The following is a 23,678-nucleotide window of genomic DNA, read 5'->3' as shown; positions in this document are numbered from 1 at the left end:
ATAAATCATATGTAGATACTAGTGATCATTTAATACAATGAAATATATATGCGTCTATTATAAAAAGTTAAAATTTATCAAGACGTAGGCAAACACAGAGCATACATGCAGCCAATTGAAGTTTAGAGAAAAGTAAAACAAAAATATACAAAAGTAAATCATAACTGCACAAAATTAACTGTAGTACATACTGTACTACTGGGATAATTTCCTAGCCTCCACCTGTTGTTCTTGCAGTGAACTCAAGTGTTGTGAGTATTCACTTAAAATGCCACATAATGCTAATCATCTTCTTGTGAGTAGCTTGTCTCTCCAGTAAATTAACACAGTAAAAAGTGTTCTCTCATGTTTCTCCTGTATTATTCATGATGTCTAGTGCAATACCATAAACCTTGAATAACACCTTCAGACCTATAAAAAGTGCTGCTAGTGATGCTGAAAGTTCTTCCAGGAAACAGAGAAGGGTCCTGACATTACAGGAAAACAATGAATTGCTTGATAGGTACCCTAGATTGAGGTCTGCAGCTGTGTGTGCTGCCATTTCAGAAGAAGGATCCATCTTGTAAACACAGGATTGTAAACTTATGAGAGAAATAAATATACTGTAGTACTGTAAACGTATTTTTTCTTCCCTATAATTTTCTTAATAACACTTTCTTTTCTGTAACTAGCTTCATTGTAAAACTACGGTGTAAAATACATACAGCGTATGAAATATGTGTTAAGGATTGTCCAGTCAACAGTAGGCTGTTAGTTTAGTTTTGGGGAGTCCAAAGTTATATGTGAATTTTTGACTGTGCTGGGGTGGTGGGGAGGGGTTAGGGAGGTTTGATGGCCCTAAACCTTGTGTTTTTCAGGAGTCAACTGTACAGTTTAGAAGAATATGATTTAGAATTTCCCTGAGATTAAGAACATATTAAATGGTGGGAAGGATATTGATAGACCTCTAGATCTAGTGACACTATCAACTTTGACTGTGTCTGTTTGATGAAGGAATTAAAATCTAGTAACAAAAGCATTTTGTAGATAGTTATTGTACCAGTCTTTGTTCTTGAACATCAGTGTGTTTTTTTGAACTGAAAATCACACATTGAATGAAAGGCTTCATCTCAATATATTTTATTTACACATAAATTTGAGCTGTTTTTTGTTCACAAGTTTGGCCGATAAAAGAGCCCTCACAATAGCTTTAATTACCATTTAAAATTACAAATTAATGTGATTTTTTAATTTTTCTCTCTTTTGTAGGGTGAAGGAGCAATGCTTTTGGTTACTCAGTATTCTCTCAAGAAAATTTAAAGATAGTTTATACACAGAAGATATTTTAACAGGTTATATTCTGAACTTGTGGCCCGGATTTGGAAAAAGCAATATCAAGTATGGTTCAAGGGGACAAGAAAGAGAGAAGCATTTGTTACCATTTTTCCAAGTCAAAAATATTTAATCAGATAATATTTTAAAAGCCAGCAATAATTAGTAATGATTGGTATAATGTTTTTGTCAAAATTATTAAATAGGAGATAAAATTAAAAGCTTTATTTTTTTGCATTCAAATAAAATTTTAAGTATTTTGATGAGCTTATTAAATCAACAATGCATGTATTACATTGAACCTGACTTCTTAATAAGTTGCAACCAAATCTTTAATGATAAGTTTAGGTCAGAGAGATAATTTTGAGATTTGTCACCATAAAGATAGGGTATAATGTGATGTAAATAATTAAGATCAGGTGGAAAGACAAATAAGATTGAAGGAAGACCCAAGACCAAGGTTTGGGGCACTCTCAGAAGTTCTAAAAAAAAAATTTAGACTATGAGTAAAGAAGGATTGATCAGCAAGGTGAAATGGATCAAGGAAATGTGGGCACTCAGAGGTACAGAGGGGTTAATTGCTGCTCAGAAAATACTCAGACGAATGCTGAACAGTAGATTAGATAGAACCGATGTCCTAGAAATCATGAAGATAAGTGACTTTATTAAAATACATATTATAAACAAAGAAGGAATTTACTGTTCGAAAAGTTGTCTTGAAGAATTGTTTTGGGAGAAAATAAAAAATAAACCTTATTTTCTAAAATACACTAAAACTAATTCCAAATGAGTCAAAGGATTGTGTACAGATATTTTAAATTAATAAAACAATGTTAGTGCAGATTCTCTTTAATTACTTCCCTGATTGTTTTACCTATAGTAACTCATTTAATTCTACTAGCAATCTTTTCATGTTGGATACAGCTATTCAAATTTTCTTTTGTTATTGCAATAGCCTCCTAACCATTCTTCCACAAAATTGAGGCACTAAAAGGTTGTGAAATTTCCTCTATGCCACAGAGCTTTTTAGTGATGATTTGGCATTTGGAAGCACATCTTTGAAATGTTCGTTTTTCTCTGATGGCCAGTGATGGTGAGCATTTCTTCATGTGTTTTTTGGCTGCATAAATATCTTCTTTTGAGAAGTGTCTGTTCATGTCCTTCGCCCACTTTTTGATGGGGTTGTTTGTTTTTTTCTTGTAAATTTGTTTGAGTTCATTGTAGATTCTGGATATTAGCCCTTTGTCAGATGAGTAGATTGTGAAAATTTTCTCCCATTCTGTAGGCTGCCTGTTCACTGTGATGGTAGTTTCTTTTGCTGTGCAGAAGCTCTTTAGTTTAATTAGATCCCATTTGTCAATTTTGGCTTTTGTTGCCATTGCTTTTGGTGTTTTAGACATGAAGTCCTTGCCCACGCCTGTGTCCTGAATGGTAATGCGTAGGTTTTCTTCTAGGGTTTTTATGGTTTTAGGTCTAACGTTTAAGTCTTTAATCCATCTTGAATTAATTTTTGTATAAGGTGTAAGGAAGGGATCCAGTTTCAGCTTTCTCCATATGGCTAGCCAGTTTTCCCAGCACCATTTATTAAATAGGGAATCCTTTCCCCATTGCTTATTTTTCTCAGGTTTGTCAAAGATGAGATAGTTGTAGATATGCGGCGTTATTTCTGAGGGCTCTGTTCTGTTCCATTGATCTATATCTCTGTTTTGGTACCAGTACCGTGCTGTTTTGGTTACTGTAGCCTTGTAGTATAGTTTGAAGTCAGGTAGCGTGATGCCTCCAGCTTTGTTCTTTTGGCTTAGGATTGACTTGGCAACGCGGGCTCTTTTTTGGTTCCATACGAACTTTAAAGTAGTTATTTCCAATTCTGTGAAGAAAGTCATTGGTAGCTTGATGGGGATGGCATTGGATCTATAAATTACCTTGGGCAGCAAAGACTTGGAACCAATCCAAATGTCCAACAGTGATAGACTGGATTAAGAAAATGTGGCACATATACACCATGCAATACTATGCAGCCATAAAAAATGATGAGTTCATGTCCTTTGTAGGGACATGGATGAAATTGGAAATCATCATTCTCAGTAAACTATCGCAAGGACAAAAAACCAAACACCGGATGTTCTCACTCATAGGTGGGAATTGAACAATGAGAACACATGGACACAGGAAGGGGAACACCACACGCTGGGGACTGTTGTGGGGTGGGGGAAGGGGGGAGGGAAAGCATTAGGAGATATATCTAATGCTAAATGACGAGTTAATGGGTGCAGCACACCAGCATGGCACATGTATACATATGTAACTAACCTGCACATTGTGCACATGTACCCTAAAACTTGAAATATAATAATAATAAAATTTAAAAAAAAATGTTCATTTTTAATTATAGCACTACACCATGCACTGAATCACGGAGGGTAAAAATGCACACTGTTAATAAGAAGGAGGGAGTCAATCTCATTAGTATTATAATATTTATACTGAATGAGACTCCATTCCCGAAATTCACAGAATTAAAATAATAAAAATAAAAATTTATTGCTAGCCAATTTGCAGCAAAAAAGATTCATTCTCATATTCTGCTATGAGAAAATAAATGAAATTGAATTTTAAAAGACATTTTTGGAAAGCCCTTTGAATTAACCAGAAAATTGTTAAATTCGTAGTTTTTTTGACTAACATTCTTCTTCCACGTTAACAGAATTTATATATAAGTGACACTCATTGCATATACTTTTAAGGGGTAAAATAATTACTAAATTTATGTACACTATTAATACTTCATTGTATAAAATTGCATATATACCCATATGCAAATGTGCACAGAATCAGTAGGGTAACCATAGACATAAAATGATCAGTGCAGGATATTTTATTTATGCATTTTATATATAATATACTTTTCATTTAATATTTTTGCTAATTTTATTGAATTGAATATTTATGCCTTGGTTATAGAACAACTAAATTTATTTTCAAAGAAACTCCATTATTATTGTCTGCAAGAGTAAAACTTATAAACAATCTAAAAATTCAACCAAATACAACCATTTACAATTGTGCCCTAGTTGAATTTGTAATCGTAGGAGAAAACACAGGTGTTGAATTTTTTGAATTTCATTTAAAAAATAATTGACACAATCCCTAAGGTATCATATAAATTAATTGAATTGTTATTGTCTTGGGTTAACATTTATTTCTAGAGTTTTTTTTCCCCTAATATCTGATTTTTTCCATTAACATTACTTATTTGGATAATCAGAAAAAAATCAACATTGCCAAAAGATAGATAATACCACAAGCGAAATATCTATGATAATGATAGGAAAATGCTTTGAATTCAGGCTGAATGAGAATTAGTCTAGGAAAACAGCTTGGACCCTCTCATTCCTGTTAATGTCATCTCTGTGTTTAGCACTGCTGCTATTCCTCAGCTACTAAGAAATGCTCTATTGCTGGGCATGGCATATGGGAAGCCAAGAAAAATGACTGGCTGCTTGGTGACAGCTCTCTAGTCCTCATGCCAAGTTCTGCCAGTGATTTAAATATTAAGTAATGGAAAGAATTTTGAAATCCAGGATGATTAGAAAAGTCATTTTCTACAAAAGTGAAGCATTGTCTTTAGAGATTAAAATCTATGAAAATAACATTATTGAAATACTAGACTTCAGACTATTTTTCTGAATTACTGTAACTGTTGAAATAGGTCTTTCAGCCCATTAAGATAAACACCACACTTTTCTCTTCATGATCTCCAGCTGTAATTTTATAGTGAAAGGTGCTTGCATAAAAGAGTTCACACTATCTGAAAGATGTCACATGTAACATTGACTGGCAGCCATTTCAGAATGGCAGACAGCCAATAAATCATTCAGAACTATGTGTCACTCGTTGTGGCTTTAAAATTGTATTCCTTCTCCTTTGATAAAGAACATTTCAATGTCAAATAGTTTGTTCTATTTAAACTTATACATCAACCAGAATATTGAGATACACAATAAAATTAAATGATTTGGTAATACCTTTAGAATTTATCTAAAAACAGCCGTATGTATTTGCATGACAGATTTGGTTCACAAACCGATCAAGTTGTTAGTATCAAAGGCATGTTTTAGTGCTGATTTGTGTATAGATAAATTTAGGAAATTACATAAATAGAAATACTTCTTTATAAAATTCCTTGACCTTGTGATATCTTGGTATTAAGAATCTTAAAGGAATCATTTAAAAAAATTCAAAAGCAAACAATTTCGATTTTACAAGAGCTAAGAAAAAAACATTTTGCTATGGACACAGATCGCTCTTCAAGAAAAGATTTCTTTCCCCCTTGGCTGCTAGGAGCAATATTACAAAGCAGCCTTCAGCTCTCAGCTCCTTCAAAGTTTGCCTCAGCTGTAACCATTGTCTGGCTCAATGTTAGGGCATCCTGGAGCACTGGACATGCAAACACGAATGGAGATGAGGTTATAAAGCCTGGCCATTTTGACCCACCTGAGAGGATTCTGACAGGTCCTTCCAGTGCCTGAGAAACCCAGGGCTCACATGCTTTATATTCTGATCATTCTGTAGGGGTTGTTCCCATGGGTGATAGAAGCTGCCAAATATAAAGAGGCAACCATGCAAATTTTTAGGAATTATTTCCAAAACTCTCATAACAACATCATATATATTTATTGGTTGTTTAAGTAGATTTCTGAGGAGTAGATAGCAACGATAGAAGTGAAAGAAAGTAAATGCAGTTGTTAAAGGATTAGTCTTCCCATACTTAGAAAGTACACAAGTTGCATATACACTATGTTCCTTCCCTAGAGCAAGTATTTCAATGCAGTCGTGTGTGTGTTTGTGTGCTTGTGTGTGTGTGGTGTGTGTGTGTGTGTGTGTGTGTATGCTAACTGAACTCATTATAGATTTTATTGGATCAGATATATGAAGAGACTTGGAAGACTTGGGTTTGTCTGGAACTGGGTGAAATAGAGAAGGACGATCATTGACATAGAAAGCTGATTACTTTGTCCTTTGAGTATAAATAGTCTTACAATAAAATGGCATCTCCACTGTCTAAAACACATTTTTACATTTGCTCTCCTTCTGAAATTATTTATGTGAAATTAACAAATGTACTTATTACCTTAGAAACAAACGATCCGTAATTTATATTATTTATTGTATATTTGTAGATCCACTTAAAATTGATTTGCAATATAAGGAAAAAATGCGTTTTATAAGTTGTTTGCTTTGTGTAGTGCATCTTGTTAACCGTAGGACTACTGTTGCATTGAAACAAAATAGAATTAATCTGTTCAGGTAAATAGAACTGGAAGTGAGATTTGTTGTCACTCCTTCTCCTTCAAGTACTGACCAGTCTTTTAATTCACACATAACTAACACTCTGTGCAATAATATTTTTTTGTTCTCTGTCTTTTCAAACAGAACTCAAGCTCCATGAGGAGATGTTTCATTGTCGGTGAGCACATTCTTGTCAATTAGTTCCTTCTTGTTTCTTACTATAGCCCCTGTGTCTAGAACCTTTCCAGGTATTCAGTAGCCATTTAAAAATTATTTGTTGAATGAATTGTTATTTTAAAGAACATCCACAATTTTGCCTGACTGGGCATGGGAATACATGCCCATCTTTGGACTGAATGTCCATTTTTCCCTTCTTTGATTTATCAAAATATTGGTTAAATGATCAGGACTACCGTCAGAAGGAATTTTATATCTAAAAATAGTTTACCTTCTATGGATGTAAAAAATAGTTGTAGTAGTTCTGGCTTTTATATTATTCGATGTTTCAAAGCGGTTTTTTTTTTCCATCACCATATTCTACGTTCTTGAAAAGTACTCGTTCATGTGACTGCTATCATTTATGCTTGTGCAGCACGTAGATACAGGAGAGAAGATAAGGAAAATGCTTACCCTGTGTCTCCTTCCCTGTAACACAGTTTTTTTTTACCATATTGATTCTCCACTTTCTACTCCCTAAGTAAAATTTTGCAACAGGCATTTGGGAAACTCTGGATACAAGAAAAAAATTTTAATATTGTACAAAGAGACAAGAGGTGACTTCTTTTTTATTTTTCATTTAGAGTTTATAGTTTAATTAAAGAAAATGCACATATATCTAAAGATAATCATGGATAATACACTCATGTAATTACTACTTTCAGTGGTTGTAACAACAGCCAAAGCACAAACAGAAATGAGAAAGAATTATCAGCATTATGCAAGTACATATCCTCTTTAAGAATTCCTGTTATAGTGAAAGCATTAAAATAATTGAACACGTACAGAGACCATATACTTTGTGATCTTTTTAAAAAAGTATTCAAAATATATTTCTGTGTGCAAAACATTTTCATAATGGTCTTGTTTAAATGAAAGTATTTAGAATAGCACATTGTAAAATTATGCTGCAGAGCACAAGTATTTTTCTCTTTAGAAGACACATAATAAAATAGAATCATCAGTGTTTTTTCATAAACATGAATCTTTAGAGTGTTACTTGATCCTGCATAATAAGGGTACTTTTTTGCTTAATGTAAGCATAGTATACTAATTCTTTTAAACTTCAGAAAGCATATTTACAGTCTAGGCAGATGGGACATGAAGGTCACACAGCATGAGCAGTGAAATATCTCATTTACCTAGAGTTCTAGAGAGAATTTTAGGAACTCTTATTTATTATCAGTGCATAAACAAGAGTAAACTCTACAAAACTGTTTGCAAAACTCTCCTCTTTCTACTCAGAAGGCTTTCCCTAGAATAATCATTATGGAGTCTGTCCATCCTTTACTCATTCACTGCATGGGGACAGGTGTTAGTTATGAGATTGGTGAATTTAGAAAGCTAACCAATTTCATACCTATTTTGGGATTCTCAATTCACAAACTTTTGTGCGTTTCTTAATTATTTCCTTTCTTTTTCTTGTAGAGAGCAGTCATGATGGCCTGCACTCCACACAATGCAACAGAGTGAAAGAGCAGGTTCTGCTTCTTTGGTGTAGTCCTGAAGCTTCCTAAGAAACTTCACATCAGGTGATGGATAGGAGCAACCCTGTAAAACCAGCCTTAGACTATTTTTCAAACAGTAAGTAATAAAGGTGACGTTTTGATCTTTATCTGCTTAATTACTTCTGCTATGATTCTATTGATTCTAACATTGAAGGAGCAGTAAATTTATATGTATTATCCAACTATAAAACAATAAATAAACGATATGTCAAATACATTATCACATCCTTATGTTCTTATGATAATATTGTCCTTTTTTTAACAGTTTTTATTCTTATTTGTTGATTGGTTTGTCTTTATGTTGTCCTTTCTACTATCAAACTGAACATGTTGAGGTCATAGGCTATCAAAACTGTACATTTCTGATGCTAACCATAGAGACTTAACAACAGTAAATAGGCCAAAATGGAATGTTGTTAGCCATAGTGTGTATTATTATTTCTTTTATACATGTGGTCACTGTTAGAGGAGTTTATGACTTTTTGCCTAGATTAATGACACACAAACCATCTACAAACGAATCATACCTTATTCCCTCACTGTAATTTTTAATGTTGCTATTTTTGCCTGTTAACATTCCATAGGTTTATCACATTGCTTAAAGATTTAATTTAATTTCTGTAATTGTATATGTCATGAGAGATTGCTTTTAACCTTCCAATGTTCGTGGTCTCATTTTCACTAACATAATCCCAACTTTAGCTGCGCACAATACCACATTTCCCAGCATTCCTTGCATCTGGATATAGCTGTATTCAAATAAGCCGTGTGAAACTTCTGGGATGGCTCCTTAAGTGCAGTTGACTCATTAGGGAGGTATGTCTTTTTTATTTTTCTACACTTTGTGCTGCTGTCCTGGAGTACAGACATGGTGGCTAGAAGCATGAAATCACCTTGAAGGTAGAAGTCATGCATTGAAGTTAGTAAAAGTGAAATGTAAGTGTATAGTTTCCTGATGAAAATGGGAAGCTTATGTACTAGCAACAGAATGCTTATTATGCAGGCTTCCTATATGTAAAAGAGGACAAATTCTCATTTTATTAAGTTTCTGAAAGTAGATTTCTAAATGCTGGTTCTATTTTTTATTGAAAGTAATGGCAAAAAACGCAATGCCTTTTGTACCAACCTAATAGTTAATAAACATATCCTCAAATGAAATGTCTTAGAATTGTGTTCATCAAGTTAATATTAATAATTTATTAGAATAGCACTCTAAAGGGTTGCAGCCTATGCATGAAAATACTTACAAACTACTACATGATAATCAATTCTTTTTGGCAAGACTGCTATTTACATGGACACAAGAGTTATTATAAGAATGTTGTATGTATACATGAATAGTGTCTGTTAAACACTGGATATAATAAAAACAATAGTTTTTCTGTTAATTATAACAATCTGAACATTTTTGTGATTATATTTCACAAATGACACACCATTTTATTTGCAGATTTTTCTTATCCCCAAAGTTTTTGTTAATTTATTACCAACACAGCACACAAGTCTAGTGGCAATGCATTACCTCTGCAGTTGATTTTGAAGTAAGAAGGCCTATTTATTGCATTCATTCCTGCTTAGATGACATCTTAAATTTGTTAATTGGATTATTATGCTCTATTCTATACATTTATTGATTTATAGATTTTGTGGACACAAATTTCAAAACATATTCGAAAATTTGGTGATAGCTTTTTAGAATCTATTCTTCAACATAGTTATTGAAAGTGAACAAGAAGGACCTCCTCTAGAGATTAGGTTGAGAACCACTTCTTTGATTTGTTAAATATGTGTACATGGATACCATGTGGCTTTATTATGAGGAGCCACTTAAGTGGCTGAGTTACAATTCACAAAACATTGTCACAGGGAAAATATCAGGACAAATTTTCAAGTCGCATGCCAAGAAAAGAAACTTTCTGAATGCTTATAAGAAATACCTTAATTAATGGGAGCCCTTCAAAGTACACAAAACATCATAACTAGGAGTTGCAACACAACCAGCAATTTGCTGATTGAAATGCATTCATTCATACTGACTTCACCTGCTGAATGGAATATTGTGCTGTACTGTCCTTAGCTATGGAGAGAGAATTAAGGAATATCCCCTTCTGGTGTTCAACAACAACGAAAGAGCAAGAAAGATATATTCCTAATTTTTAAAGAAGAATGTAGAGATACTTAAACAAGACAATGAAGGTGGTAGAAAGATTATTACCATCCCCAAAGTGTTTGCTCATTAAAACATTTTGTGATTTTCTCTGCCAATATCATACCTGTATGGATAATTGTTTTCCTATCCACACAGTTATGAGAGTGAGAAGATGGAATATAAAAGATGGAACAAGAGGGAATCTGTGTGGTGACCACAGTAATCACAGGCTGGTTGGGATCCTAAACTCGGCCACAGCACAAAAGCATGTTCAAGTTTAAAGTCATGAGAGAGGCCTGGCATAGTGGCTCACACCTATAATCCCTGCACTTTGGGAGGCCAAGGTGGGAGGATTGCTTGGGGCAAAGAGCTCAAGATCAGCCTGGGCAACATAGTGAGATCCCATCTAAAAAAATGTTCTTTAAGTTAGCCTTATGTGGTGGCATGTTCCTGTGGTATCAGCTACTCAGGTGGCTGAAGTGGGAGGGTCACTTGAGCCTGGAGGTTGAGCCATAATCATGCCACTGCACTCCAGCCTTGGTGACAGATTAAGACTCTGTCTCCAAAAGTAAAACACCAAACAACACAAAAAGTAAAGTCACAATAAAATGAGATGCTATTAAGGTTGTTTTAGGTTGATTTTCAACTAGACCAGCATTTAGCCTGTACAAAGGCATATACAAAATAAACCCTAAACCTAAATGGGATTCAGCAGCAGCAGTGTGGGTTAAAGAAGCCACCAGTTCCCTGGAGGCCAGAACCACAGGCCTGTGGCCTTTTTTATTGTTTTGACAGGGAGGTGGAAAGCAGGAGTATAACTACATTCAAGTGTCTGCTCTGTTGCTGTAGGAGAAAATCCGTGCTGTAGCACATCAAAGTTTTTCCAAATTTTATTTCTTAGGACATCTTTGGGGTTTATGTAAGTATTAAATAGAGCTCCCCTAGCCCAGGCTTACACAGGACATATGTCTAGTGTCATAGGTCTGTATGCTTAAATTATAGCAGAAAGTTTGCTAAAATTTAAGTGAAGTAATGTTGAAGGTTGAATCATTTGAAACAAACTACCTGCACCAAAATATTCTTTAGTGTACTGATTTCTATCCCACCCCTAATGAGGCTGAATTTTAATCTTAACTCTGCTTGTAATTAGGTATTTATATGTGTCTGTTATTCATTTTTTAACAAGATGTCTCTTCAGAGATAAAATGAGGGTAGCAAAAAATAATTTTAATAGCCATTTATATGGCTTTGATAACAATTGTCTGTTCTACTTATCTGACTGATTCTAAACTCTAAAGGTTATTTTACAGTTAGTAAATTACATAATTTTTATGCAACAATTTGCCTGCCAGGATTCCTATAATACTTGTCAGCTATCAGTAGGTATAAGCCTGTTAGCCTCTAATGTGAAGATAATATCTCTTTAAGTTATAACGCATTTACAATTGTTACAGTTTCTAAGGTCTTTTTGAAGTTAGAGATGCATCTGAGGATGATGGTTTTCAAGGAGATAGCTCTTTGACAAAAAATGACAATATGGGACTTAGTGTTATATTAATTTACACATTATGTTTTTGCTATAAAGAGATAAAAGGTGTGCTATACTACCTATCAATTACTGTATGCCACATTTTGTAGAATTGTTTTCCATATTATTGTAGAATGTGGCACTTAAATAGTATCATGAAAAAAGTTTATTCAAGAAATAAGACATTAATGAAATATAATTAATATATAAAGACTATATTTAAAAATAATTATGTATTTCTAATCCTAAACTTTTTAAGGTGACATTATTTTTTTCTGTGATATAATTTCAGTTGAGAAGAACTTTAAATTTTAATAAGATTTTAAGATGATTCAGTAATGTTAACATACTTTTCTTCTGTAAATTTTGTTAACAATTTAGCTGCATTAATTAAATATTTATGTAGCTAATTTTAATAGTGATATTTTAATACAATTCTTAATTTTACTCCTGGCTTTCAATCATTCATATATGTTTTTAAAAATTGCTTTTTCCATTGCTTTACTTCTTAATTACTTTTATCAAAGTCTTAATTGTGTGTGGTTGATTTTAAAAGTTAAATATTTCTATAAGATTTATAAAGACAAACTGGGTACAGTGACTCACACCTGTAATCCCAGCACTTTGGGAGGCCGAGGGGGTAGATCACTTGAGGTCAGGAGTTCGAGACCAGCCTGGCCAACATGGTGAAAGCAGTTTCTACTAAAAATACAAAGATATGCCTGGTGTGGTGGTTGGCCCCTGTAATTCCAGCCACTTGGGAGGCTGAGGCAGGAGAATTGCTTGAACCTTGGAAGCGGAGGTTGCAGTGAGCTGAAACCATGCCATTGCACTCCAGCCTGGGCAGCAAGAGCGAAACTCCATCACAAAAAAAAAAAAAAAATATATATATATATATATATATATATATTATATATTATATATATGTATGTATGTATATATAAATGTATATGTGTGTGTATATATATATATATATACACACTATATATATATATATATATACACACACACAATAGAAATGTCCTGGCTATATCTATATTAATAGGTTTTGCACATTTAAACCAAAGTCACACATATGGTTTGATTCTAATTAATTCTAATGCATCTTGCAGGTTTCAAACTGTATTCTATTATGTAATTATCTGCTGATCCACTCTGTATCCTGTTGTGTAAGTTGCGATGATTAACCTCTGCCTTTACGATGTAATCCAAATGTAGCATATAGACCTCAATGATAAGATTGATCATGGTGCATTTAATCATTAATTTATTATTAATCTCTTTTATCCTGGTACTTAGAGTGCAGATTTTTCTCAACAACTATTTACGCAATCATTAAATGAAATATAGCCTTGTGTCACTTAGCAATGAGGATATGTTCTGAGAAGTGTGTGGCTAGGTGATTATCTTACTGTGCAAACTTCATAGAGTGATCAATCTATAATGGTGATAGCAATTTTTCAACCCTATTATAATCTTAATGAGCCATTGTTTTACATGCTGTCTCTTATTGATGTAAACGTTGTTATGTGGCACATGATTATATAAAAGATATTAATCCATTCATTATTTATGCATTCATCCATTTGACCTATGGTAGTGTTCTATTGAAAATGAGTCATCGTGATACAGAAATCCACTGTTAGTTGTTTTTACTTTCTCTTGTTCGTGGGGAAGAGTGGGTATTGATTTTAAAAGTCTAAAGAATGGGGTATTGTGAATAGTGCCGCAATAAACATACGTGTGCATGTGTCTTTATAGCAGCATGATTTATAATCCTTTGGGTATATACCCAGTAATGGGATGGCTGGGTCAAATGGTATTTCTAGTTCTAGATCCCTGAGGAATCGCCACACTGACTTCGACAATGGTTGAACTAGTTTACCGTCCCACCAACAGTATAAAAGTGTTCCTATTTCTCCACATCCTCTCCAGCACCTGTTGTTTCCTGGCTTTTTAATGATTGCCATTCTAACTGGTGTGAGATGGTATCTCATCGTGGTTTTGATTTGCATTTCTCTGATGGCCAGTGATGGTGAGCATTTTTTCATGTGTTTTTTGGCTGCATAAATGTCTTCTTTTGCGAAGTGTCTGTTCATGTCCTTCGCCCACTTTTTGATGGGGTTGTTTGTTTTTTTCTTGTAAATTTGTTTGAGTTCATTGTAGATTCTGGATATTAACCCTTTGTCAGATGAGTAGGTTGCGAAAATTTTCTCCCATTCTGTAGGTTGCCTGTTCACTGTGATGGTAGTTTCTTTTGCTGTGCAGAAGCTCTTTAGTTTAATTAGATCCCATTTGTCAATTTTGGCTTTTGTTGCCATTGCTTTTGGTGTTTTAGACATGAAGTCCTTGCCCACGCCTGTGTCCTGAATGGTAATGCGTAGGTTTTCTTCTAGGGTTTTTATGGTTTTAGGTCTAACGTTTAAGTCTTTAATCCATCTTGAATTAATTTTTGTATAAGGTGTAAGGAAGGGATCCAGTTTCAGCTTTCTCCATATGGCTAGCCAGTTTTCCCAGCACCATTTATTAAATAGGGAATCCTTTCCCCATTGCTTATTTTTCTCAGGTTTGTCAAAGATGAGATAGTTGTAGATATGCGGCGTTATTTCTGAGGGCTCTGTTCTGTCCCATTGATCTATATCTCTGTTTTGGTACCAGTACCGTGCTGTTTTGGTTACTGTAGCCTTGTAGTATAGTTTGAAGTCAGGTAGCGTGATGCCTCCAGCTTTGTTCTTTTGGCTTAGGATTGACTTGGCAACGCGGGCTCTTTTTTGGTTCCATACGAACTTTAAAGTAGTTATTTCCAATTCTGTGAAGAAAGTCATTGGTAGCTTGATGGGGATGGCATTGGATCTATAAATTACCTTGGGCAGCAAAGACTTGGAACCAATCCAAATGTCCAACAGTGATAGACTGGATTAAGAAAATGTGGCACATATACACCATGCAATACTATGCAGCCATAAAAAATGATGAGTTCATGTCCTTTGTAGGGACATGGATGAAATTGGAAATCATCATTCTCAGTAAACTATCGCAAGGACAAAAAACCAAACACCGGATGTTCTCACTCATAGGTGGGAATTGAACAATGAGAACACATGGACACAGGAAGGGGAACATCACACTCTGGGGACTGTTATGGGGTGGGGGGAGGGGGGAGGGATAGCATTAGGAGATATACCTAATGCTAAATGAGGAGTTAATTGGTGCTGCACACCAGCATGGCACATGTATACATATGTAACTAACCTGCACATTGTGCACATGTACCCTAAAACTTAAAAGTATATATAAAAAAAAAGGGGGGTATACACACAATCAGGTGTCAAGCAGTGGCACCTCGTGCAAAATAATAAACTCATCTAAGATCCTAGCAGTTCATTCTGAAAATAAAGCTGGAAATATATCTTGGATATGTAAAATGTGAGTGTAAAAATTAATGAAACTAAGCAATGGGAATATGAGTAGTAAATTATTTGAGAAAATATTATAACATTTACTTTTTTAAATTTCAAAACTATATTTCCTTATTTAAAACTGAAAATTTTTGTGTACATATATGAAACTAATTGTGTCATTTTTCTTTTTGTTACAATATAGAGTGATGTTTCAAAACACAAACATAATAGGTAGAGTCAATTACTTAGGGGAGTTTAAACCTGGAGGTAACATTAGAAATAGAAATAATAAAATGCAGTGTTTTTGGATTTGTCTGTTAAGATTATTTTAATCCAAATCATATTTAATGGTTTACATAGTTGTATATCAAATTTGGTTTTAGAAATAAATTATACAGTAAATTTAAAAATGCAAAAAATGTATATTGTTATACATTCTGTAACCTATGAATCCATATAACTTGGGCAAGAAAATTATATAATTAAAAATAAAACCTTTCTGTTCTCAATTATGTTTTAGGGACAGCTATATAGTTCACACTCACAAAGGAATCATAAAAACTCTATGTATAATCTTGGAAGTAAAAATATCTGTTGTATCATATTTATGAAGTATACAATTGATTAAAAATGATAATGTCTGTCTTCTATCCAACGGCAATAACAGAAGATAATGGCATATAAGTAGGCCTGTCTCCTTTTTTTTGGCATTGATTTATATATCTTTACTAGCTTTGTTGTTTTAACTCCAATAAAAGATTATTTAGTAAGCCAAAGCAAAAAAAAAAAAAAAAAATCCTGTGAGCAGCCACAAACTGAAAGACTACGATTTTTAGTCAATGTCCTAAGCAACACAGTGATTTTAGGTTAACCAATGTGTCAAAGAGAATGAGGAAAAATTATTACAAAAATGAATAAATAAACTGGTCTAGGTCAAACCGTACTCCTTCTAAAGAGAGTAGTCAACTGATATTAAAGCCTATGACGTAGTATGTGCCATATTGAGTATGCAATATCTAAATATTTCTTTTTTTTCTTTCTCCAGCTACTGCAAACCCTAATTGTTTCCTTATCCGATCACTTTAAAGTCATTCAGCAAATCATAATTATGCCATTGTTAACATCAGAAACTGAAAACCTACTGTCAAAAGTGAGCTAAAATATCATATTTGGATTTATTTATAAATTTATTTTATAAAAAGATTGACTTTCAATTTGAGAATAACATAAAAAATCAATTCATTCCTCTGTGCATCAATATTGTATCATTGGTAGTTTAAACTTTTCATCTAATATTAGATTGCATGCAGGATTTTATATCTAATTACTCTGGCAGATGGCCTTTAGAAAGTTCAAAAATAAAATGCAGCAATTCATATTGGCAGATTTACTATTGAGACCAATGCTTTCTTAACTAAAAGGTTTTGTTTAAAATCGTTAGTTTAGGAAATCTGATAAAGAGTTTTGAATATCAGAGCGTTTAAAAGAGATTCTTACTTTACATCTGGCATATTTCTTGTGTTACATATTATAATTTCATTGAACATGGCTGTCTGTAAAACTATGTATATGATCCGGAAGAGACTCAAACTAAATTAAGTTTTAACAGCCATCAATTCATTTTAAAATGACACAGGCATGAAAAATGATCTATCAAGATTTGTAAATCTTATTCTGTTAGCTATTGCTAGAGATAGTCTAAAGGTATTCTACTTGGAATTTGAGATCAAGACAAAGATTTTCTGTTAGTAATAATATTCAGATTATTTTTATTTTGATGTATAAATTTAAAATTCTTAGAATATTTTCAACAATATTTTCCATTTCTAAATTTATTTTATTTCTAAACAAATGTAATTACTTTATTTATTAACTTTTATTTTCAGTTCAGGGGTATATGTGCAGGTTTGTTATATAGGTAAACCTATAGGTAAATAGGTATACAGATTATTTTGTCACCCAGGCATTAAGCCTATGCGCGTTAGTGAAAAATGTTATTGCTTTAAATATCCAAATTATTCAGCTGCATTTGATCTCATTCTTTAGTCCAATGTAAGTAAGAGTAAAACAATGACATTTAAGGCCACCAGGCTATTCTCATTTTTGGAAAAATGCTGGATTACATTACCAGCATATTAAATGAGAATATCAAGGTGTAATATCTCCCTAGAAATTGTCTCACCTTCAATACTATTGACATTTTTGGACCTGATAATTTTGTTGTGGGCTCTAGCCTCATGTTATAGGAGGTTTACCAGTTTTCCTGCCCTAAACTTACCGGATGTGAATAGCACACTCCACTACCTACAGCAGTAAAAACTAAAATTGTCTCTAAACATTGACAAATTGTCCCTGGTAGTGAAAATCACCCCTGGTTGAGACCGTGTTGTTGAAAATAAAACAAAAACTTTCACATCAATAAATATGTTAGGCTGTGTATGTTAAGGATTAACATTAAGACAATATGGAGCAAGCACTACATGAAAGCAGTGACGATTGGGAATTAGTGGCACATTATCCTAATAGTTAATATAGTGACTGTAATATCTAAATATCATCCTATAGAGTTTTTCTTAGATTTTTTCATTAGTATAACAGGATGTTGTGTATGTTACACTGTATATACTGTTATTTTGAGAGACAATTTTGGGAGATTTTGCCAAGGTATTTTCAATTATAGGTCTTTAATACATTCTAAGCAAGTGGGTCTCAAAAATGGGAATTTTACACCCCACATTCTTCTTCCCATCCGGTGGACATTTGTCAATGTGCGCAGATATTTCTGATTAAAAAAAAAAAAAAAACTGTGAAAGAGAGGGTGTGCTACTGGCATCTGGTGGTCGAGGCTAGGGATGTTGCTAATCATCTTACAATGTACACGATAGTTCCCCACAATGACTTTGAGAAACCCTGCTCTGACACTACTGCAGGATGAATTTTAAGCACAATTATAAGAGAGGACCTAGATATTGAGTTTTAAAAGGAGAAAATATAAGTACAAAAGAAGAATGAAGATTGTTACAACAGGGGCAAGTAGAAGTTAGAAGAAAATGTGATAAAGTAAATCTACATTTTAGAATAGTACTGGAAGTTATTATCAGGTGTTACAGACAAGTTTGAGACTTCCGTAAGTGACCTAAAGAAATTATGGACACTGCAAGACTAAATAATCATTCATTTAGGAAGGAGCTTAAATGCACTTTCTCAAGGCCGGGCGAGGTGGCTCACGCCTGTAATCCCAGCACTTTGGGAGGCCAAGGTGGGCAGATCACGAGGTCAGGTGATCGAGACCATCGTGGGTAACACGGTGAAACCCCGTCTCTACTAAAAAATACAAAAAAAAATTAGCCGGGCACGGTGGCGGGCGCCTTAGTCCCATCTACTCGGGAGGCTGAGGCAGGAGAATGGCGTGAACCCGGGAGGCGGAGTTTGCAGTAAGCCGAGATCCCGCCACTGCACTCCAGCCAGGGTGACTGAGTGAGACTCTGTCTCAAAAAAAAAAAAAACTTTCTCAAGCATGCTAAGTCACAAAATTTGAGTTATCCTGAGCTTTTTTTACTTTAAGCTATCAAGCCATTGTTTGGAATCTTCAGAACCTCTTTAGAGTTTGGGATTTAAGAGTCAGTAGGTAGATAGTGAGCTTAAGATGCCAAACACAACATATAAAGCTATAAAAATCCATATGATCTTGAAAGATTAAATGGAAGCCCAGCACAAAACAATTGCTGAGTATATTATTTACATTATCTGAAAGTATGCCAAACAGACACTTTATATGTTAATAAAGATATGAGAAAGAAAATTCCAAAGAGTTTCTAAAAAGTGAACAACCACAAAATTTCAATAGCTTGCAACAAACATTTTCTTCTCACTCATGTTACCTGATGGAAAATCAAATGGCTGCCTGGAGACAGCATGGAGGGAGAGACTGATTACTGAGGTGCACAAGAAAACTTTTCATAATGATGGTTGTGAATGTAGTGATATTTCCAAAAGTATATACATATATATATATATCTATCTCAAATTTGACCACATCACACATTTCAAGTATACTGAATTGACTGTGCATCTCTTATTATACCCCAGGAAAGTTGAAGATATGACAATGAAAAAAAAATTCTTCCACCGACTACCCATCAATTTTCTTCTCATTAGCCTCACAGATTTCACAGTTAATTAAAGGGAAGATGCAAATATGTTCAAACTGTACATATTCTGAGGCCCATACCTTGCCATTAGCTCAATAAAGAGAGACATTGTCCCTGGCATGAAAATGAAAAACTTGCACACTCCCTAGGTGGCTTCTGGACACTCTTAAGACATGAACACACTTTGGGGGCTCACCCTGTCAGGCTTTGCTCTCCGAGCTTAGATGAGAAAAACACAAAAATAAAACCAAAAGGTGACATTTAGGTGCCCATCAAGAAAGATGTGTTGGGAACTGGACAGGTCAGGGCTTTAAGTACTGTATCTTACTGTATGTTTAAGTACTGTATGTTACTGTAGAAACTTACCCATTTTCCCCTCAGAACAACTCTGTCTCAGGAGGTGAGTCTGAGAGCTACTGTTTCTTTGTAAAGGTTTTATCTGATCAGGCCCACGGTCACCACGTCAGCCCCACTGCCCCTAAATAGTTTGAATCTTGATGTTTTGATTTCAAAGACTTCTGATTCTAGCTACATAGCTTTGTCCATTTCCCACCTTACCACTATTTACTTTGAATTTTGTTGCATGCCGAGACCAGTGACTGCCACAAATGTGACTGTTCCTAGAATCTGCTTTCTGCTCTGATCTTTAGTCAGTGTGCAGACTCTAACATAAACTCCTTTCTATCGTATTTTCTTGAGTCCAAGAGCCCATAGATTGTATAATGCACTATTTTATGTCCCGTTAAGCAAGTAATTCGCATTGTGGCTAATTAAACTAAGACATACCACTGAATTGTAAAATGCATTATATTTTCAGGAGATATTAAAATATGAAATGTATAGGTCTTGGAATAGATGAATTGTGACAGTATCTTTGGAAAGCTAATTCAGTTGCAGTATTGCTTAAGATGTCTTTAAGAGCTGACTTCCTTTAGTTGGAATACATATGTAAATTATTTGCAGAGGAGATTTACCTCTTTTATCTCATTCATTTGTTTATTCAGTCATTTATTGATATCAATATGGACTAAGGAAAATTACATTTTTGGGTATAATCCAAATATACTACCAATTAATGTATTGTGTTGCTAAAATTATTCTAGAAATTGAAAGACCTTTCACTTGGCCCCTGTGCTTGTTTGACATATCTCACGAATAGATTTTTGTTAGTATTTTCATAATTTCTGGCACTAGAGGATGTCCCAGGCTCATCTTGTGTATTTTCTTCCCCATTCTTAGAATCAGCCACTTTCAAAGACGCCCTGCTTTCTATATATGAAATCAATATTTAAGTGCTAGCTGTGCCTGTAGCTAAGGGAGTATCAATTTTTTCATAGCTCTCTAAGATGAGAGAGCAAAGAAACAATGTGTATATTCTTACACATATCTTTAAATATTTCTATATGTAAACATCTATATTAGTCCATTATCCCATTGTTATAAAGAACTACCTGATCCTAGGTAATTTATAAAGAAAAGAGCTTTAATTGCCTCACAGTTGCACAGGCTGTACAGGAAGCAAGGATGGGGAAGCCTCAGAAAACGTACAGTCATAGCAGAAGGCAAAGAGGAAGCAGGCACATCTTACATGGCTGGAGAAGGAGGAAGAGAACTAAGGGGGAGATGCTACACACTTTTAAACAACCAGATTGTGTGAGAACTAAGTCATTATCACAAGAACAGCAAGGAGGAAATCTGCCCCCATAATCCAATCCCCTCCCACTAGACCCCTCCTTCAACACTGGCGATTACAATTGGACGAGAGGTTTGAGAGGGGACAAAATGTAAACCATATCACCATCTATGTCTGTATTAAGCTAAACATGGGTTCTTACTGATGTCACTACCTCTAACCTAGTCCCGCAAGCATCAATGCCTTCCTGTATCTCTAAACCCCCACTCCAACAATAAAAATCCTGACTCTTATTTTGTGACATCTATTTAGTTAATTGTTCACTTCCAGTATATGTATATAGCTGTACCAGAATTGATAACCTGCCCTTAGTAGAAGAACATCTTTATCAACTAAATTAAATGCCTTCGTACAAGTTTCTTTTGCCTTTCATCTTAAGAGACTGCACTCATTTTCAATATCACTTTGACTAGCACCCTTTCCCTTAAGTCCCTCACTGAAGTTATTTTGTATGGTTCATAATAGAGCTAGATAAATTTGTAACAGTCTGCATTCCATCCTGAGATTCTACAACCTTTTAATTAATTTTTAATTAAAAATATAACTTTTATTTTGGTAAATATTAGCACTTCTGTGCCACACTACTATATATAAATATCAAAAAAAGGTCCAGAAAGCTATAGAAAATTTGAGTAAAGTGCTGAATGTTGAACCTAACAATAACTGGGCTAAAGTAAGTACAGAAGGCAATTTTTTATTTATGTAAATTTATGGGATACAAATATAATCTTATTACCTCCATAAAGTACATAGTGTTGAAGTAAGGGTTTTAGAATATACATCACCTGAAAAATGTACATTGTACTCATTACATAATTTCTCATCATCCCCTCCTCCCACCCTCCTGAAATTTCCAAGTCTCTGTTGTCTATCATTCCACATTCTATGTCCATGTGTATACATTATTTAGCTTCCAGTTATAAGTGAGAACATGCAGTATTTGTCTTTCTGTGTCTGATTTGTTTCACTTAAAATAATGACCAGTTACATCCATGTTGTTACAAAAGACATGATTTTATTCTTTTGTATAGCTGAATAGTATTCTATAGCGCATATGTGCCAGATTTATTAATGTAATCATCCACTGAGGGACACATTGCTATTGTGAATAGTGCTGTGATAAACATATGGGTGCAGATACCTTTTTCATACAATTATCTGTTCTCCTTTGGGTAGATCTCCAGTAGTGGGATTGTTGGGTGAAATTGCGGTTTTATTAAGAATGTATATTCTGTAGTTGCTGGGTAGTATTTTCTGTAAATGTCAGTTAGGTCTATTTCATCTAAGGTTGAATTTAAGTCTTAGGTTTATTTGTTTTCTGTCTTGATGATAACATTTAATGCTGTGAGTGAGATGGTAAAGTCCCCCAGTATTATCGTATTGCTGTCTATTCCTTTTTTATGTCTAGTAATATTTATTTGATGAATCTTGGTGGTCTAGTGTTGGATGCATATGTGTTTAGAATTGTTATATCCTCTTGCTGAATTGATCCCTTTATCATTATGTAATGACTTCCTTTGTCATTGTTATACTGTTTTAGATTTAAGTTCTGTTTTACTTGATATAAGTATAGCTATTCCTGCTTGCTTTTAGTCTCCGTTACATGGAGTATCTTTTTTCACCCATTTACTTTAAATCTGTATGTGTCTTTACTTTTCAGTCTGTATGTGTCTATATGTTTCTTGTAAGCATAATATTTTTGGATCATTTTTTAGTTCGTTCCATCAATCTACCTTTCTTTTTTTTTTTTTTACTTTTAGATGGAGTTTCACTCTGTCATCCAGAGTGGAGTGCAGTGGCGCAATCTTGGCTCACTGCAAACTCCGTCTTGCAGGTTCAAGCGATTCTCCTGCTTCAGCCTCCCAAGTAGATGGGATTACAGGTGCCGGCCACCACGCCTGGCTAATTTTTGTATTTTTAATGGAGATAGGGTTTCACTATGTTGGCCAGCCTGGCCTCGAACTCCTGACCTCGTGATCCACCCACCTCGGCCTCCCAAAGTGCTGGGATTACAGGTGTGAGCAACTGCACCTGGCCCAATATCTATCAATCTATATATTTTAAGTGGAACGTTTAATTCATTTACATTCAAGGTTAATGTTAATACATGAGGTTTTCTTTCTGCCATATTGCTGTTTGTTTTCTACTTGTTTTATAAGTTCTTTGGGGTTATTTTGTTGTTGTTTTTTGTTTTTCTTTCTGTGTGTCTCTTTGTCTTTGTGGTTTGGTGGAAATCTGTTGTGTTGCTATTTGATTGCTCGTCCTACTTTGTGTGACTGTTTTACAAGACCTATGAGTTTGCTACTTTCATGTGTTTTGATGATGATGATGAATGTTGACCTTTCATTTTTGTGTTTGGGACACCTTTGAGTATTTCTCATAGGACTCGTTTGGTGGTGACGAATTCCCTCAGTGTGTGCTTGTCTGGAAAA

At 34.3% G+C, this 23,678-nt stretch overlaps 1 pseudogene across 1 annotated transcript in view; it reads left to right on the top strand.

The window, feature by feature from the left end:
• GUSBP15 (GUSB pseudogene 15) overlaps positions 1 to 23,678 on the top strand; it is a 104,680-nt pseudogene that overhangs the window by 22,105 nt on the left and 58,897 nt on the right. Inside the window, exons 3-4 of the transcript NR_034021.1 lie at positions 6,745 to 6,778; positions 8,245 to 8,400. The product of NR_034021.1 is annotated as a GUSB pseudogene 15 (transcript). The remainder of the gene's footprint in view (positions 1 to 6,744; positions 6,779 to 8,244; positions 8,401 to 23,678) is intronic.

This window comes from Homo sapiens, chromosome 5, assembly GCF_000001405.40.
Source record: "Homo sapiens chromosome 5, GRCh38.p14 Primary Assembly".
Taxonomy (NCBI): Eukaryota; Metazoa; Chordata; class Mammalia; order Primates; family Hominidae; genus Homo; species Homo sapiens.
This window is presented reverse-complemented; position numbering and strand designations above follow the sequence as displayed.